Source organism: Homo sapiens, chromosome 7 (genome assembly GCF_000001405.40).
Source record: "Homo sapiens chromosome 7, GRCh38.p14 Primary Assembly".
Classification (NCBI taxonomy): domain Eukaryota; kingdom Metazoa; phylum Chordata; class Mammalia; order Primates; family Hominidae; genus Homo; species Homo sapiens.
The window spans coordinates 20,789,252-20,807,845 of record NC_000007.14 but is presented as its reverse complement, the minus strand read 5'-3'; the positions used below and the strand labels follow the sequence as shown (position 1 = coordinate 20,807,845).

At 41.7% G+C, this 18,594-nt stretch overlaps 6 annotated features.

Moving 5' to 3' along the window:
* Positions 7,070 to 8,622: an enhancer, noted in NCBI's record as "VISTA enhancer hs1019". NCBI's record gives its function as "enhancer in: forebrain[4/6]" and the evidence as "EXISTENCE:transgenic organism evidence [ECO:0001131][PMID:17130149]".
* Positions 9,369 to 9,498: a silencer, noted in NCBI's record as "silent region_17994". NCBI's record gives its function as "represses an Ori minimal core promoter by ATAC-STARR-seq in GM12878 lymphoblastoid cells {active_cell/tissue: GM12878}" and the evidence as "EXISTENCE:reporter gene assay evidence [ECO:0000049][PMID:35858748]".
* Positions 9,589 to 9,818: a silencer, noted in NCBI's record as "silent region_17993". NCBI's record gives its function as "represses an Ori minimal core promoter by ATAC-STARR-seq in GM12878 lymphoblastoid cells {active_cell/tissue: GM12878}" and the evidence as "EXISTENCE:reporter gene assay evidence [ECO:0000049][PMID:35858748]".
* Positions 9,869 to 9,928: a silencer, noted in NCBI's record as "silent region_17992". NCBI's record gives its function as "represses an Ori minimal core promoter by ATAC-STARR-seq in GM12878 lymphoblastoid cells {active_cell/tissue: GM12878}" and the evidence as "EXISTENCE:reporter gene assay evidence [ECO:0000049][PMID:35858748]".
* Positions 11,311 to 12,019: an enhancer, noted in NCBI's record as "OCT4-NANOG hESC enhancer chr7:20835446-20836154 (GRCh37/hg19 assembly coordinates)". NCBI's record gives its function as "activates a minimal SCP1, AML or CMV promoter by ChIP-STARR-seq in naive H9 embryonic stem cells {active_cell/tissue: H9 hESC(naive)}" and the evidence as "EXISTENCE:reporter gene assay evidence [ECO:0000049][PMID:30033119]".
* Positions 13,563 to 14,837: an enhancer, noted in NCBI's record as "VISTA enhancer hs844". NCBI's record gives its function as "enhancer in: forebrain[5/6] | facial mesenchyme[3/6]" and the evidence as "EXISTENCE:transgenic organism evidence [ECO:0001131][PMID:17130149]".

Sequence of the window (18,594 nt, the reverse complement as noted above, 5' to 3'; positions counted from 1 at the left end):
GAGCCACTGTGCCTGGCTAAAATCAATTTTTTTTAAATTACGTTATCCATTACATCACATATGAAAAAAACAATCACACAACATGGTATGCCTTTGGCAGTATGATATGTAACTTTAATTAGTAAGGTTAATTTACCATTTAATTTTAAAGCAACCAATGCATAAAGATACATATTTTAGTAGTCATGAAAAGGAGAGAAGGTAAAAAAATATCTATTTGGAAAAAAGATGTAATGTATAGAAGTCTGAGGAGGGAAAACCTTCTCAGCTCTATGATATGTAATAGGGTTTTCTTTTCTTCTTTTCATTCTTCATGATCCAGTATGAGAGAAATCATTAATTCTTCTTTAGCTATAATTTTGCAGTGGTAGAGTATTTCCTTTGGATACAAAGGGAAGAGACCACAAACTTGCCACCAAGTAATGTGTGTTCAGTAATCACTGTAGCTAGCCATAATTACAATTGTTGAGTCAAATACCCATAATCACAGTTGTCCAGTGAACCAGATTATGACTGTGTTTATTGTCTTTCTTGTCAGGGTGTCTCTTTTGTCCATTTTCCGTTGTTTGAAATGACTGCACCAACAAAGTTTTGGGAGTTGTTTTGCCTTTATTTTGTTGACTAGAATGATCTAATTGTGAGATCAGCATTGTGGGTTTTAAATTACTGAAATCCATAACTTAATAAAAGATGCACAATCTATTCTCTGTCTGAATGACCACTTAGAACATCTTCTTGCCAGCTTTATCATAAGTTTTGACCATGCTTCTTCTACCCTATTATGGGTATATTATAAGCAATGTTCAACCCTTATAGTTCTTAGTGCTGAATTGGGTCTGTCATCTAGTGTTGTTGAATAGTCTTTACCTCTTTCCAAGGTTCCTAATATGTATATCCAATAGGAAGGTGTAGTATCCACCACATAAAGACATTGGACTTTTTAAAGTTTTCTTGTGGACTTCTACATTCAGTTAAAATGTGTAAGGGCACAAAAGACCTTCTGTGGTGGACAGAAGGGTACCACACAATCTTTAGGGTAGCCCTTATGATTTGTTCCTCCTGGTATGTATGCCCTTGTATAATCTTCTCTTAAGTGTGAGCATAATCTGTCAATTGCTTCTAACTAAGAGAATATGGCAAGGGTGATGAGATTCACTCCTGAATATAGTTATAGTGCATTATATGAGATTCCATCTTGGTAACCCACTCTAGACACTTTCCTTACTGGCTTGATGAAGTAAGCAAGCACATGGCATGGCACTGTTGGCAGCCTCTGGAAACTGAGGGCAGCCTCCAGCTGACAGAGCAAAAATACAGAGCCTTCAGTCTAATAGTTGCAAGTAAATGAATTCTACTAACAACCTGAGTGATGATCTTAGAAGTAAATTCTTCCCCAGTCAAACCTCCAGATAAGGTTGCAGCCCAGCCAATATGCTAATTTCATCCTGTGCAAACCAGGATGAAATCACATCCAGCCCAGCCAATGTGTTGAGTTCATCCCAGCGACTAAGCCATGCTGGAATAGAAACTGAGATAATAAATGTGGGTTGTTTTAATCTTTTAAATTTGTGATAATTATTACTCAACAATAGAAAACTAATAAACCTTTACTCCAGTAGTGGATGAAACAAAAAACATAAAAAATTGAAATATAAAAATCCTATTTTTTATGGCACTATTGCAAGGTAAGAGTTCAAGGGAGCCTTGATGAACTAGAGTCCAGAGAAAGACAAGCTGTTTGCAGGTGGTGGCCTCCATATTGGTAGTTATACAGTTTGGCTGTTTGTCCCCACCCAAATCTCATGTTGAAATGTAATCCCCAATGTTGAAAGTGTGGCCTGTTGGGAGGCATTTGGGTCATGGAGGTGGATTCCTCATGGCCTGGTGCTCTTAGTGAGTGAGTTCTCATGAGATCTGGTTGTTTAAAGTGTGCAGCACATCCCCAACTCTCCCTTGTTCCTGCTCTGGCCATGTGACATGCCTGCTCCTGCTTCACCTCCTGCCATGAGTAAAAGCTCCCTGAAGCCTCCCCAGAAGGCAGACAGATGACAGTGTGACACATCCCATACAGCCTGCAGAACTGTGAGCCAATTAAACTTCTTTTCTTTATAAATTACCCAGTCTCAGGTATTCCTGAGTCACATGCCACCAAGCCCGGCTAATTTTTTTTGTATTTTTAGTAGAGATGAGGTTTCACCATGTTAGCCAGGATGGTCTCAATCTCCTGACCTTGTGATCCACCTGCCTCAGCCTCCCAAAGTGCTGGGATTACAGATGTGAGCCACTGTGCCCAGCCTCACTGTTTTATTTGGTATTAATTATAGCTAAATTTCTTAACTTCTGTGTGTGTGTGTGGTGTGTGTGTGTGTAGAAATCATATATTCTTCATTCTTTATGTCACTAAGTATCCTGAATTAAGCAGGCTTTTGGAAAAAATAGTCTTAATCTACAAAATAGATTTGAATTTCCAAATTGAAAATATCTTTGAAATTGTTATGTTTCTCCAATAATTTGTGTTTTGGGGTCTTCCTAGGAATCTGGCTTGCTGATTGGTGGCTCTAAAGTCTGTTTCACTGAAAACTGCACCAAATCCACCTGTGGAGTGATCTAAATTTCTGGAGCTCAAAATTACAATTAGTACCTTTCCATCAGGACTATTGAAATAATTAAAGACATATTTTTTTTGTCTTTAAAACACACACACACACACACACACACACACACACACTCAACATAATACCCAGCAAAGATAAAGCCCAGGTGAACTTTGATCTCCACAAATTCCAACTCAAAGATGCAGAGTTTGGCCAGAATCAGCCCAGTCACCAACCAATTGAAAAACCATTTGATTGCTCTACATTCAAGTTTCTGTGAAAGATTCAAGCCATTAATACTAAATTAGTAGAATCTGCTACTTTCAAACACAAAAGATTCTTTGCCTATGTCCACATCCTTTTTGGGAAGCTAACAGTAATTCCTTGTTTGGAAGGAAACCTGAAGGGAACCTCCCGACTAGATCCTCCAGTCCTCTTCCATTTACTAACTGCTTTGGGCTATGCAAATGCACGCATGTGCATGGCCAACATAAATTATGGCTAACGATTTGTCACTATTGTTTTATTAACAAATACAATTCAAAGTAGAATAATTAAATAGGGACCCATAGTAAAATAAACATTCCAGTGACCTTTTAAACTGAAAAGTTCTGCTTTACAAACAAAAGAGAGAACAATACAATTACATGATAGTGCTTGTACAGACTTGCCGAATATGTGATGAAGCCTTGACCAGCCGGCAAGTCATCGCATCTCTTCCATCCCAGAAAAGGTTGAAAAGAACAGGACAGCTGTAGTGTCCTCACTTTGAGACTTATTGGTGAATGGAGTGACAGATGTAGAGCCAGTGCCCCAAAGTGGGCAGGACCTGATCCCCAATAGACAAAAGAGGGTGACAGTCTCAGAGTCCCATTTACTTCAATAAAAAGAAATATTTTAAAGCCAGCTGTCTTTTTTTTATACATAAGATACTGATACAAGGCCATAGTTACTGATTAGGTCTCAGAACACCATCTTGCCTGATAATCCATGCAAAATGCCAACAAACAGTTTTTCCCTAACTTATTAGTATTACCTGTTTGTTCTAGCCATACTAGGTATATATTGTATGCTATTGATCTTTCTATAGCTTTAGTACATATCTCAAATAATAAGGGCTGCTCTAAGTTTGTCTTAGGTTTACTCAACAAAAATCTGAAAAGTTAAAATTTTAGTCTCCAAAATATTTCATATCTGTTACATGTATCTTTTCATAATAAACCAAAGACCCCTAGTTTTATTTAATATTCATTTATTGTAACTCCCTATTGACCCAAAGTAACAAATATGTTTAGTAATAAGTATTCTCTTCTCTACCATAAGTGGTACCTTCCTGCATTTTTGTTCTTCTACCCAGGGACTGTAAATGTCTAGAAATCAGATATCTGTTGCTTATATTTCTCTAAAGGAGGTGCTCCATAAATAGGACAAGTCACATATATTATCTGATTGGGTCCTCAGAGTCCTCTTTTGGAGTTGGCTGAGTGGTAATATCCCTATTTTATAAATAAGCAAACTGAGACTTAGCTAGACTAAGTGATAGATCATCTAACCTAATACAGAAAATTAATGGAATCGAAAGTAGAAACTAGTTTTCCCAATTTATAATTTGGCGATCATTTCATATCACCTAGCTTCTCCTAATGTATGAAAAAACATAGCAATTTTATTTAGAAATATTTTCAGGCCGGGCACGGTGGCTCACGCCTGTAATCCCAGCACTTTGGGAGGCCGAGGTGGGCGGATCACGAGGTCAGGAAATCGAGACCATCCTGGCTAACACGGTGAAACCCCGTCTCTACTAAAAACACAAAAAATTAGCCGGGTGTTGTGGCGGGCGCCTATAGTCCCAGCTGCTCGGGAGGCTGAGGCAGGAGAATTGCGTGAACCCGGGAGCCGGAGCTTGCAGTGAGCCGAGGTCGTGCCACTGCACTCCAGCCTAGACGACAGAGCAAGACTCCATCTCATATAAAAAAAAAAAAAATTTCGTTCTCGGCCAGGTGCAGTGGCTCACGCCTGTAATCCCAGCACTTTGGGAGGCTGAGGCAGATGGATCACTTGAGGTCAGGAGTTTGAGACCTGCTGGGCTAACATAGCGAAACCCCGTCTCTACTAAATATACAAAAATTAGTGGGACGTGGTGGCACACGCCAGTAATCCCAGCTACTCGGGAGGCTGAGGCAGGAGAATCACTTGAACCTGGGAGGCGGAGGTTGCAATGAGCTGAGTGGCGCCACTGCACTCCCACCTGAGCGACAGAGACTCCATCTCAAAAAGAAAAAAAGAAATATTGTCGTTCTTAATTTCTTTCAGTTGATCAGTAATAACAAATTTCTCAGGGACAGAGACAATAACCATTAGCAGTTGTCAAAAACCATGTATTGCAATTTAGATTATATATCTCCAATGCTTAAATTCTGATTAAACCAATTCATGTTGCAGTTCTTATTTGATAAGATTAACAAGGCCAAGTACAATGGCTCACACCCAGCACTTTGAGAGGCCAAGGCAGGAGAATTGCTCGAGCCCAAGAGTTCAAGACCAGCCTGGGCAACATGGCAAAATTCCGTCTCTACCCCAAAAACCACCAAAATTAGCTCGATGTGGTGGCACACATCTGTAATCCCAGCTACTTGGGATGCTGAGGTGAGAGGATGGCTTGAGCCAGGAGGGCCGAGGCTTCAGTGAACCATGATCACACCACTGGACTCCAGCCTGGGTGACAAAACAATACCCTGTCTCAAAAAAAAAAAAAAAAAAAAGTGAACTACATAAGAATAAAAGAAAGCTGGCGGGGCATGGTGGCTCACGCCTGTAATCCCAGCACTTAGGGAGGCTGAGGTGGGCAGATCACAAGGTCAGGAGTTCGAGACCATCCTGGCTAACATGGTGAAACCCCATCTCTACTAAAAGTAAAAAAAAAATTAGCCAGGCGTGGTGGTGGGCGCCTGTAGTCCCAGCTACTCAGGAGGCTGAGGTAGGAGGATTGCTTGAACTGGGGAGGTGGAGGTTGCAGTGAGCCGAGATTGCGCCACTGCACTCCAGCCTGGGCAACAGGGCGAGCCTCCCTCTCAAAAAAAAAAAAAAAAAAGAATAAAAGAAAACATTACATTTATTTATTTATTTATTTTTGTCTTTATTTTCTTTTTTTGAGACGGAGTCTCGCTCTGTCTCCCAGGCTGGAGTGCAGTGGCTTGATCTTGGCTCACTGCAACCTCCGCCTCCTGGGTTCAAGCAATTTTCCTGCCTCAGCCTCCCAAGTAGCTGGGACTACAGGAACGTGCCACCACACCCAGCTAATTTTTGTATTTTTAGTAGAGACGGGGTTTCACCATGTTGGTGAGGATCATCTTGATCTCTTGACCTCATGATCCGCCCGCCTTGGCCTCCCAAAGTGTTGGGATTACTGGCGTGAGCCACCGTGCCAGGCCTAAATTACATTTAAAATAACCAAAATAACAGTGACTCTGACCCAAGGAGGTAATTACATATATAAAATTTAATATTCCCACCAATTTTTACATAAAGCTGTATGAATTTCACACCTAACAAACTGCAAAAATTCATCTACATTTATTTGTAAGATGATTTTAAGCTCCAGGAATTTCATGCAGTTAGAAGTTGGCTTTCTGCAGAAGATAGAATAATGCTAATGAGTGAATATTAAGTATAAGACACTAACACTGTAGAGGTAAATACGTAATTATATACATTTCCAAAAGTGGGACAAATCACACATTAAGTTATGTAATAATTCAAGGACTTGTAAGAGACAAGAAGATGTACTTGATAGTCTTTGGCTAATTACTTTTAATTAATATGTCTATATTATTGAAACATATGAGAATATTTTAAAATTAAGCATGCAAAAATATTCAATCAAGGAAAAATATGGATCATTAAAGCTAGTAGAAAGCCACCATTGGAAAGACAAGAGGTTTTACTTTTTTAACCATAAAAGCTAAGTCCAGACATTCATAATTATATCAATTAATTGGCCATTTTGGCAAAATTATATAAATTGTCTACACACACTTCTCAGAGTACATAACTGCCAGTGCTATTTTCTCTTTGGTCAAGTCTATACTAGCTATCAAAATGAAGTGGATAATTAAGACCATTATTCTGATAACTTAGATCAAATATTAAGGTAAAAATAGAATTTTTTGTTTGTTTGGATTGAAATGTAAATGTTCTGTTTGTGTTCTGTAAGCATGTGCAAATGGTTTTGTTTCTTCAATTGTTTTTAAAATCTGGTTATACAGCAATTTCTTAATTAGAATCTCAGGTTCTAAAATTCCCAAGATGCCTAGGTAATACAACAGTATTTTAGAATTTTGTATACCAGTACTGGCTTAAATCTCATTTCCTAAGTTTGTAGACAACACTGATAAAACTTATGGATATTCTGAATACAAAAATAAAATAAAACCATTGGAATGTATTTAAAAACTCAACAATAAGAATATTCTTTATGGTTATGTAGAATACCCTTTAATCAGGATAGGCACGCTTTAGTACTTAGGAATAAAGTGCAGTGATGTTTACCACTTACTTGAAATAGATAAAAGAGGTAAGTTTATGTATGTGTATGAACAAACAAATAATCATATCTGACATCTACCTATCTATTCAGATATAGTAGATCCATATATGTCTGTCTGTCTAGCTATCCATCTACTTAGAAAAATCTAAGCAATTGTCACAAAATGTTAAAAGCTGATGAACCTAAGTGAAGGGAATATGGGTGTTCTTTGAAATTAAATGTTTCATTGTACCATTATTTTCTGTAGGTTTAAATTTTTTGAAAATAAAAAGTTGGAGAAAATGTACATTTTAACCTTTACATAAAGTAACTAATAAATGTTCAGTAACCACCAAATCCCCATGAATATGATACCCCTGAGACTGAAAATTCTGCAGTACCTCATTTCTTAAAATCATACTGTGAAATCTATACTAAAAGATTCTTTCCAATAGGCCTTAAGTGAGCACTTTAAAATATTCCCAAGGTTTCCCATGCAGGGTATAGTTAAAGAGCATTCCACTTGAGATCCTTGCCTGAAAGGCCCTATAGAATTGCAAAGTATCATTATTAAGCAAATGTTCCTGGGCCCTTGGGTGGTTCACTTAAAACACATTTCCCTGTATTGAATATTCAATGCCAAAAGCACACTGTTCAGTGTTAAGATTTGCAATTTAAACCCAGTTGGGAGAAGTAAAAGGTTCTTGTAATTTGCCTATACTGTATTGCATTGATGTGGTAGCTTTCATTGATAATTAAGTTCCAAAAATATGAGTTAGATTGTGTGAACAATGGAGGAAAGCTAACCTTTCTATTATAGCTTTAGCTCTTGACTTCTCGTATTTAAGATTACAGATGCTCCATTAAATCGATTTTGTGTTTAATCTCCTCTTGAAAAAGAGTGAATGCAAGTCCCCAACGTTCTTCCCTTTGAGAGAACCCAAGTATTCGACAATGAAAACTACAAGGCTCAAACTGGATGATTAACACCGCCCACTGGGGATAAGAAAAGTTTAGTGTGCCTCTTTTTAGGTAGTTTTCCCTTAACTAATTCACTGGATTGGAATGTCAAAATATATTTCTCATTAGATTTTCAAAAATTTTTTGAAAAAAAAAAAACAGATTTGAAAGGACAGGGGTGCATTTTAAATGATTCAATTCATTATATTATTTTAAATACATAGATATGCTTTTTAAAAAACAATTGTAAATTTGTGGCTTTTAAAAATTTTATTTAAATCTCCTCTCTGCCTATCATTTAGTTCTTTTCTCTGCTTTAAAATATTTTAGGTCCTTCAGTAAAATATAAAACAATGGAAACATGCTGAACGTAGGATAGAATATTTCGATCGAAATATCAAAAATTTATAAAGAGAAGGTGGGAGGTTGTCATTGTGTCGAAATGAAACTGTTTGGTTCTTTTTTGAATTTGTGCTGGGAAAGACCCATCGCCCTGGTTCTGGCTCTTCAGGGGAAATGGAAACTGGACTGTGGCTTTCTCTGCCTGGCATCTATCTAAACAGCCTTGCTTTCTCCAGCACCAGCAGCGTGAGGGTTCCACTCTAGCATATGGTCAAACTTCTATCGAGAAGATCCAGTACGTATTCAATGCAGAGCTTACCTTCAAAAGAGATAAAACTACCTTGGCAATGAGAGCACTAGCACTGTCTTTGGGATCCCTGCGGGAGATCCTCTCCCCACTTCTACAGTTAGCGGGTGGTGGGGAATGAATGGCATAGCAGTGATTCTCCTAGTGTGGTACCCGGTTCAGCAGCATGAGCGTCACCTGAGAATTTAGGAATACAAATGACTGGGCCCCACCGCAGTCCTACTGAAGCAGAAACTCTGCGGACGAGCCCAGCCATCTGCGTTTTAACTAGCCCTTTGCGTGATTCTGATGTATAGTCGCTGACATAAAAACGAGAATATAAATTTTCTAAAAGATCTTTAAAGTCCAGTTAAGACCTGAAAGGGGACGCTAGCGAAGCAGTAGGTCACTATTGCCCGGGTGGGGTGGGTCCCAAGCCGCCTGACCTGTCCGCGACCCCCTCCCGAACACACGCCCCTGCGCTGGCGCTTCCCACCCCGCCGCCCGCTGGCCTTCGCCCCAGGCCGCGCAGGCTGCCCAGCAGGTGTCAGGTCGGCGGCCCGGGGCGAGGCGGGCCCTCCCGCGGCCGCGCGTGCCGGCTACAGCCCCTCCCGCCCGGCCTGCCCCTTTGTCCGCCCCGAGGGCGGCACCTTCCCGCCCGCGGGGTGTGCGAGCCCTCGGGGGGTGGGAGAGGAGGAGGGACAGGGAGGGAAGGAGGAGGAGCGGGGCGGGCGGCTGAGTGCAGGGGTGGGGAGCCGCCGTCGCGCACCCGACTCCCGTCCCTCCGGGTCAGCGGAGAGGGGCTTTGTGACCGGCCCAGGAGTCCCAGCAAGACAACCGCCCCGGGGCGGGGTGGCGCCTCCCCCTTGGCGGGAGCCGGCGCAGCCTTCCCGCCCGGGGAGCCGCGGTGGCGAGCGGCGTACGGGCCGGGCAGAGCACGGAGCTGGCGGCGGAGCTCGGCGGGAGAGCACGGCTAAGCGGAGGGGAGGGCCGGAGGGTGGGGCGGGGCGGGGCTGGGCCGGGCTGCCACGGAGCCCGGCGCCTGCGCCTCCGCCTCCCGCGCCCGCGGCCGCCGCAGCCCGGGCCTTGCGGGCCGGCGAGCAGGCGGGGACGCGTGTGTGCCCTGGCCGGCGACCTGCGCCGGGTGCCGGGAGGTGCGCAGAGGCGCGGGCTGGACCTGGGACGGCAGGCTGTCTCTCGGGTGCGGGGTGGGAGGGGTGAGGAGGAAGGAAAGGGAGGGGTTGAAAGGCCAGGAAGAAAGGGGAGTGCAAATATTGTGACTGCTGGGGACTGAGACTGTCTGTGGCGCAGTCGGTGGAGATCTGCACTCCAAGCTGGCGGTAGGCTGCGGAGAAGTCCGACTGCCCCTCGTCTGGAACTGTCGCTCTTCCCTCTGACTGCTGCACAGACAACCGTCACTCATTGCTTTTAGATCCTGCGACTGGTGGGGAAAGCTGCCCACTACTCGCCATTTATTCTAGATTCCCCAAGGGCAGGATCTTAATTAAGCTGACTGTTTTCTGAAGAAGCTTCAGCTCCGAGAATCCCTGGGACGTTGCCAACACTGGGGGTGAAGGTGAAGGGGAACCTGTCCTTTTCCTGCTGTGTTCCCCGCCTTACCCCTCGGCCATTGCCTTTCGTTTACTTCTCCAGTCTCCTGTCCTCGTATCTTAGATGGGTCAAAGCATTAAAACGGGACAAACCTGTATGGCAACGCATCCCAGGTATACGTGAAACCGGAAGCAGGAGCACTTCCGAAGTTCGTTGGACCATCGCGGGGAAGCGCAGCTCCTCAAGGCTCCGTGGGTTGGTGGCAGCCTCGGGGGCCCTGCCCATGAGCCGAGCGTGGTGGATGCCGATGCATTAAGTGATCTGGAGACACTCGGTCCTCGAGGTTCTTCCTCCAACTGAGTTATTATATAGACTGGGACGTGCCAGGCCTTTCAAAAGTCAATCAGCATCGGCTTGTAATTTCCTTCCTCAGACTTCTAAACCTACAATCTTCCCACCCATTTCTAAGCATTTTGGAATTTCTGTTCCCAAATCTTGACTGAGGAAGCTAAAGGGAAGGAAATTCAGATCACCGTAGCTTAAGTTAGAAAAAAGAATAGTTTTTTTTACTTAAATGGTAAATCAACAGCAAATCACCTAATAAAAAATATTTATGAATATCTGCGGCTTATTTTTGAAGTTTTAAATTCTATATATCAATTACCCTGTTTTCAGTTAAATTTGTTAAAGTTGATTAAAACACTGAAATCGAGTCAGTCAATAAAATCAATAGTGCAAGTTTCTTCTAGTAAAAAAGATCCTCTTTTGGTTTGACTATGGCTCGTACTAATTTGCTGCGCACCTATTAGTTTCATTTGGTTAAGTATGTCAAAATTTTTGAAATCACTTTCGTTATCTAGGCTTAGAGGACGTCTTGAAACTAAGCAGAAAAATAATCAAAGTGGATTTATTAGTTTTTCCCTTTTTAGCTATAGTTTCAAATAAACTGACATTGGGTATTACTAGTCAAATCGTTTCACTTTGCAAATGGGTTTCCCCAGTTTCAGAAGAGAGGAAGTTATGCCTAGGTTAGAATACTACTAGAAAACTACTGAAGCACTATCTACAGAAAAACTCAAGAACTTTCTGTCGTTAATAGCTGCCCTTTTGAAGGTAAAGGGCATTCCATTTCAGGGCTGTAAATGCCAAGTGTAGACTCCAAAGTAGTGGGTTTTGGTTTTCCAATGTTTGCTTTCTTCAGTGTTGATCAAAGACCAATATGTTTGCCCTATGAGGCCCCACTGAAAAATGTTTTTAGAGCAATTACAGACATAACAATAATCAATCTGTTCAGCTTATTTCTTTTACCTTAAGAAATCTTGCCCCCTCCCCCCCAAAAAGAAAAGAATGAAAGAAATATTTTAATAAAGGAGAGAGAAAGAGGTACTATATTGGCGATTGAGGGTTAAGTGCAAGCACTCCAAGAGAAAAAAAGGTTGATCTTCACTCCTCGGCTCTTTCTAAGACCAGCACTCGTGGCCCTTGTTTTGAATTAAAATGGGCAGCCTCCTTTAGTAGCCAGCAGGGTCCTTGTTATTTAAGATGGAGAATCTTCAGGGCCATGGTGGGGGGAGGGAGCGATGCAAAGTGTTTAGGGGAAATTAAGCTGCAGGGAAAAAAAATTCAGCAAGTGGGAAGGTTCGGATGAAGATCTTGTGGAAAATTATCTGAACAACCTTTATTACTTTTCCAGAATTCATAAGCAGGAATCAAGATCTTATTTCCTCTTAAAAAATAACCTCTGCTCAGAACAAGAGTTGGTACTCATCAAGTCTTAAATAAAAACATGCCCTCTGTTCCATCTAGAAGGGTGTTTCTGTCTGGGATTGGAAGTGGGGACTTGGCACCTAATAATGTAGACACCCTTGAACCGAGTGATTAGCGCATCAAACCAAGTTTCCGACAGTTGATACGGATATTTTATTTCCAGCACCTTCTAAAGTGGAGCCGGTTTCTCCTCAGTGGGTCCCCCTCCCTGTAGGCCTACACTCAACAGCCCTAAACTCAGGGCAGGGGGAGCCTAAGGCGGCCAATGCCTCTCTATTTAAAGGGGGTGAGGGGCTGCATGGACTTGACACCATAAGCAGGAGTAAACCCATTTGTAGCCAAGGTTGATGAAATAAATAATTCGGGTTCCCAGGCTGGGCGTAGTGGCTCACGCCTGTAATCCCAACACTTTAGGAGGCTGAGGCGGGTGGATCACCTGAGGTCAGGAGTTCAAGACCAGCCTGGCCAACATGGTGTCACCCCGTCTCTACTAAAAACACAAAAAATTAGCCGGACATGGTGGCGGGCGCCTGTAATCCCAGCTACTGGGGAGGCTGAAGCAGAAGAATCTCTTGAACCCAGGAGGCAGAGGTTGCAGTGAGCCGAGATCGTGCCATTGCACTCCAGCCTGGGCAACAAGAGCAAAACTCTGTCTCAAAAATAATAATGATAATAATAATAATTAGGGTTCCTTCAGTTTTCATCTAGAACTCTCCAGTCAGCAGCAAAACCGTCGATGTTTTCTTAGCAGGAGAAAACTGCGAATGTGCGGCCCACTGGGACAAGATCTTTGTGAAGTCCTGCAAAACCCCTGAACTCAGTCGTGAAAAATGTTTCAAAAATGAGCGGGGCCAAAGCTTTCGATGGGTAGGGATGAGCTGGCAGGGGTGGTGGGAGAGTGGCAACCCATGACTCAGACCTCTGTGGGGGGCGGGATTCACCCTGACAGTTGTGATGCACCAAGTAAAACCTGAATTCACAAGGCACCCTTTGCTGTGACCAATACAGACGTCCAGTTTAATTACCACGGAAGCTGTCCTGGCTGATTCAATTTGACATAGACGTATGACCCACCTCGTTTACTAGAGAAAGACGGGCTCAAGAGAGACCCATTTCCCTTGGGCGGCACAGGAAAGCGGTGGAGTTGTGGGCAGGCGACAACTTCACGTGTGTGTGTGTGTGTGTATGTGTGTGTGTGTCTGTCTATATAGGTGTCGGTGCATATATTCTTTTTCCAAACATCTTTGGAAGTTGTTTTCGCACTTGTAATTTACAAACCAAGTAAATTTCAAAGAGCTTATACTGCTTTCAGACACCTAAATGCACCTTCAGCTTTCCTCCCAAATTAGATTGCAGCTTTACTTTTATTTTTCTTTGCTAAGAAATATGAGAACTCACCATCTGAACCCCCGTATAGGGCACAATCACTCAAGAGAAGTGAGTTAGTTAGAAAATATAATTAAGGTAGATTTTAAATAAAAAAGTTAAAGTGAAGCATACACAAAAATATCCCAATGTACTTTGTAAACGCATTCAGGAACTCAAATATCTGCTGGCACTAGCAGGTCCTCACAAGAATTCTTTGCTCTAGTATCCTTCAAAATGGCTCCTGATATCCCCACTTCTTAAGAAAATAAAAGTCAGCAAAAGCCTGCACCCAAATTTTGGTTGGGATTCAATATTCTAAGCAAAATATGCTCAACAGATGATAGTAGAGATGAAGCCAGAAAACAACTCCAGCTATTTAAACTGCCAAATGAGACATAAAGCTGCATTGTAAAAATCATCTGGAAAACAGGTTTTCCCATTGAAGTCGCTATGTGTTAATTACTGTGAGCTGGAAGGCTGGAGATCGAACGCCTGGAAGCCGACTTTCACCCCGCATACGTAAACGGAAAAAGTGCTGAACCGCAGCCAGAGGGCTCCTGCTCGGACTCATTGCCATGCATGCCTAGACATTAATATGTGTTCATGGAGGGCTCTTACAGTACGAGGTGTTATTTCCTTATAAAGAAACACCAGGTCTCGCTTTCCATTCTTCTTACAAAATTATTCGCATTATTTATGCTACATTGAGCGATCTAATTTCTTCGTGATAGTCAGCTAATTGCTCTGGCAGGTAATTAGAAGCGGTTTACAACGCAAAGGGCTTTTGCATTGCCCCTCGGATTATTAAGTTGCGCTGTAAATTATACCACTTTTGCTGGGGAAAAATTCTTTTGAGCAAGTTCTCTTCCTGCGATCCGAGATGAAATCGGCTCCCCCACTCATATACACCCCTCCCTAGCCACCCCCACTGCCACCACACCCCCTGCTTTTCCTGGACTCAGAGTCGAATGATTCTAAAGCACGCGATTTTGTTCGTGTTCACTGGGCCGAAATAACGTGGCCATTATGGCCTGAAATGGGCCAGGTTTGAAGCGAGCTTCCTGCGCGCCTGCAATATCCAGCAGGCATGTGGGAAAAGAACGGCTTAAATGGGGACATCTGTTCAGTGCTGCTCATCTTACTCTTAGAGCCAGGTCAGGTTAAGAGAATAACCTGTTCGCCACCTTTTTTCTTGTTAATAAGACTATTAGAAAAAACCGAGCACACACACACAAACAACACTAATTGAGCTGCCATATAAGCAAAGAATCACACACACACAAAGGTAGCAGCTGAGTTACAAGAGGAACAGTAAAAATTAACCATTGAGCTATTTCAGGGGACATCCACAAAACTTCTGTCAAAATAAAATAAAATTAAAAAAAACTTATGTAGACTCAAAAATATTCTCTACACAAATGGACTTGTGCAAGAGACTTTGAGAACTCAAGAAAGCATGGCTAATTTTCAGATTTTCATTTTAATAAAACTGACCTGAAAGTAAACTCCAATGAACAATTTTTTAGGCTTTCAAGTGCTCGAAGACGCCACACTTTCTGGTCATTGGTGTTATTTTGGGTAGTGTTATCTCTAAGAATCTGTTGACAAACCCAAAGTGGGAGCATGCTAGTTTGTCCCCTGGTTTTAGAAAGTGAATTGTATCCCCTTTCACAAATATCACACATTTGTAAACCTTATACAGTGATTTGAACACATGTGTGGTTAAACCCAGAGACCTGGAGCAGCTCCTAGATTATTTGTAATTAAACACAATTCCCAGAGTAACATTTATCTTCCCAAAACTGCGATTGCAATTGTCAACCGTCTGGAGGAGACCCCGGGGTAATCTGGGAGCATTACCTCCTCTACTAACAGAACAGAATGAAAAGAAATCAATAGTGTTGAGGATAAGCATTTAGTAGTTTTTAACTCTGCATGTTAGCTGTAAGAAAGTGATATATAATACCAAAAGAGAAAATAACAGAAACAAATCCATTCTAGGAAAAAAATCAGAGACACACTCATCTGAATGTCTAAGCTTCTCTTTTGCTCTCTTGCCTTGAACGACAGTCACACACAAACACACACCATTCACACTAAATGAGCAAACTCTTTTCCCTACATGTGTTTCCTTCATTTATATGATGAAGGAGAAATACAAAGTGCTGTAGAATTAATTATCAATTTTATCCATGGGCTGGCAGAGATGAATATAAAAAGTACTGTAGAGTGCAAGCCTGAATGTAGAAGTAGCACGAGGCCACATTAACATAGCATGAAGATATGAACATTATGTGTGTTGACAATAAATAGGGAAAGGTGTTTTGTTTTCTTCCTTTAATACAGGCTGTACACAGAGATGGAGATTTTGAACATCAATTTTGGTAAATATCTTTATACTTTTCCTATCTATGAACTTACCTACTACTAAGATGATTGTTTGATACATGGGGAAAGTCCCGCTTGTCTTCTAACTATGCAATTTGAATATCCCAGCTAAAATAAATCAAAGCTGGTAATATGCTAAGTCAGATAAGTAAATCTCTTTTAATTAAAGTGTCCCTAACTTTTGAACATTTTGAAGTGGCAGAGAAGAAAAAGTAAATATTAAGGAGAATGGAAGAAAAATATCAAGTCAAGAAAAAAATAGGAAATGCTCTCTCAAGTGGTCTCATTTATTTACAGTCATCAAGGCAACGCTTTTCATCACCAAGAAGCTCCTGTGCCAGTAGATCAAGAGTCACTATTGCTTCGTTGTGGTCAACAAATGCATCCAATTAAGCACTACCAGAAAAGTAAGGACTCGGCTATAAATGTGGCCGGACAGTTTGGAACCAAATAACCTCACTAATAGAGGCTATTGTTCAGCGTGGAAGTTCCCATTTTCCAATCAGGAAAATACAGCCCTCTCTGGGCTCTGGCCGACTGATCTCTTCCCACCTACGGCTCAACAATCTGCCACCAGCGAGGGGCTTGTATTACCTCTCTTCCCAGGAAATGTTAGGTAACTTCTTAGTAAAACCACACGAAAGAGAAATGGACTGCTAAGGGGCACCCCTCAGGAATTCACAGGTCCACGCCTAGCCAGGTTTTTTTTTTTTGTTTGTTTTGGTTTTGGTTTGTTTTTTGTTTTTGTTTTTGTTTTCCAGCGGGAAGGAAACTTTGACCAGAGAGCTCTCGACGAGGAAACACCCCCACCCAACCTGGCTCAGCTCGCTGCTCCCGGCGGCCGCCGGCGGCGCTCAGCTACCCAGCGATCCCTCTTCACGCTTTATTTAGTAGCCAACACGTCCGCGTGCGAGGACCCCGCACACTAGTCAAGGGGTTGGGGGTCGTCTTCCCATTCTGGGAGAGGCGCAGGCCAGGGACGCAGTGCCAGCACTGCGTTCGCTCTGTCTCCCGCGGGCACCCGCCGGTCAGCTTCCAGAGCTGCATGTCCCTGCCAACGCTCTAGAAACCGAGATGCTAAGAGCCGGGTTTAAACGTACCCTGCAGAGGTACGCGCTACAGTTTGTGTGCATTTTTTACCATTAGGCTTTTTTCCTTTCCTTTTATTTTCTCTCTCTCTCTCTTTTTTTTTTTTTTTTTTTTTTTTTTTTTTTTTTTTTTTTGACGCTCTGTTTATAGTGGTCCACACTTAACAAGTTCAAAAACCGTATTTGGTGTAGATGAGCTGCCGGACACTTGAAAGCCTAGATAACTTTGATGTTTTCCACTATAAATCCCTAATTGTACTTAATGGTTACAAATGACTTTATTTACTTGTCGCTGTAGCTACACATTTTAATCTATTAATCAAACAGCAGAGGCATCTTTCACTTCCTACTCCCGCAAAAGGAAAAGCAGGAATTGAGGCCTCTAATTTGCTTTTAGGACCTTCTGTTTCTTTGGTTGTGAAAGCTAAGACCTCCAGATCCGAGCATTGATTAGTCTTCAAACCTGCCTGCAAAAAACCTTCCTTTCTCCGTTCCATCTAAGGAGATGTTGATGTATATTGTAGCTGCAAGGTGTTAGATATACTTGAGCAAGTTGTTCCCAGGATGTAAATTAGGTCCCAAAAGCTGTTGTCCAAATCGAAGAAACAGAGAAATTAATCTGGGAGACTATCCATCATCACCGGTAATAAAGAGAGCGACATGGATGAGACAGATGATATGATTAAGGGGCTGTGGTCGTTTTAATTAACTTTTTGCTGTCCTGTAATGATCAAACTGGTCACCAGACCCGGTCAATAAGCATGTTAATATCAAACAAATAAAACCAGGGATGATTAAAAACCTCCTAGTTTATTAAATTTGAAATTCAAATGAAATTTATGCTGCAGATGCATACAGAATGCTAATAGATTTTAGCTTTATTGATAGTGGATCCCACAGGTTTGCAAGAAACAGCAGAATATCCATCTACCCCTCTTCCTGCCAGCACATTAAACTTCATATGGGGTGGAGAAACTTTTAATTAATGTTAGAAAGCCTGTACTTCCTATTTTTCTTCCCCCTCTTTTTCAAACATCTATATTATCACAATATAATACTCAAGAGTAATAATCAATATCGTAAAAGTTAAACCGAAGTGTATGCACCCTGAAATGCTTTGCCAGGCAGGCTATATCAACAATGGATTACAGATGTTCTCTCCTATGGGACAGGATTTAAGAATGATTGGGTCACTTCTCCAAAGTGGAGAAAGAGCTGTCATTAAGTCTAGTTTCAAGCATATTTAGATGCAAAATTATGACTGCTAAAATTTTTGGTCAATTATATAATTCTCTTTGTCTTTTCTTTTTAACACAGCTGCCTTATGCCTCATGTCACAAACACTAGCCATTTCTTTTGGGGAGGGAGTGAAAGAAGGGTGGTACAAGAAAAAAATGCCCTTTGACCAATGCTACTATGAAAGAAATAGCTCACTTTTTATATGAAAGTAAGTGGAATATACATATATTTCTAATAAAAAATATATATACATATATATAATGAAGAAAGTTGCACATACACACCTTTGTGGAAATCCCCAAATGCTGCAAGCCAATCTTACACAAACTGAAGAATCCAGTATTTTCATTAAATCCACACCAACGTTGTGACTTATAGGAAGAATGACATATGATTCTAAAGTTAATTTATACACTTGAAAAATCTTAGAATTAGGTAGCTCAAAACTGCAGTCACATGACGCTGGGTTTTTCTAATTCCTGGCAT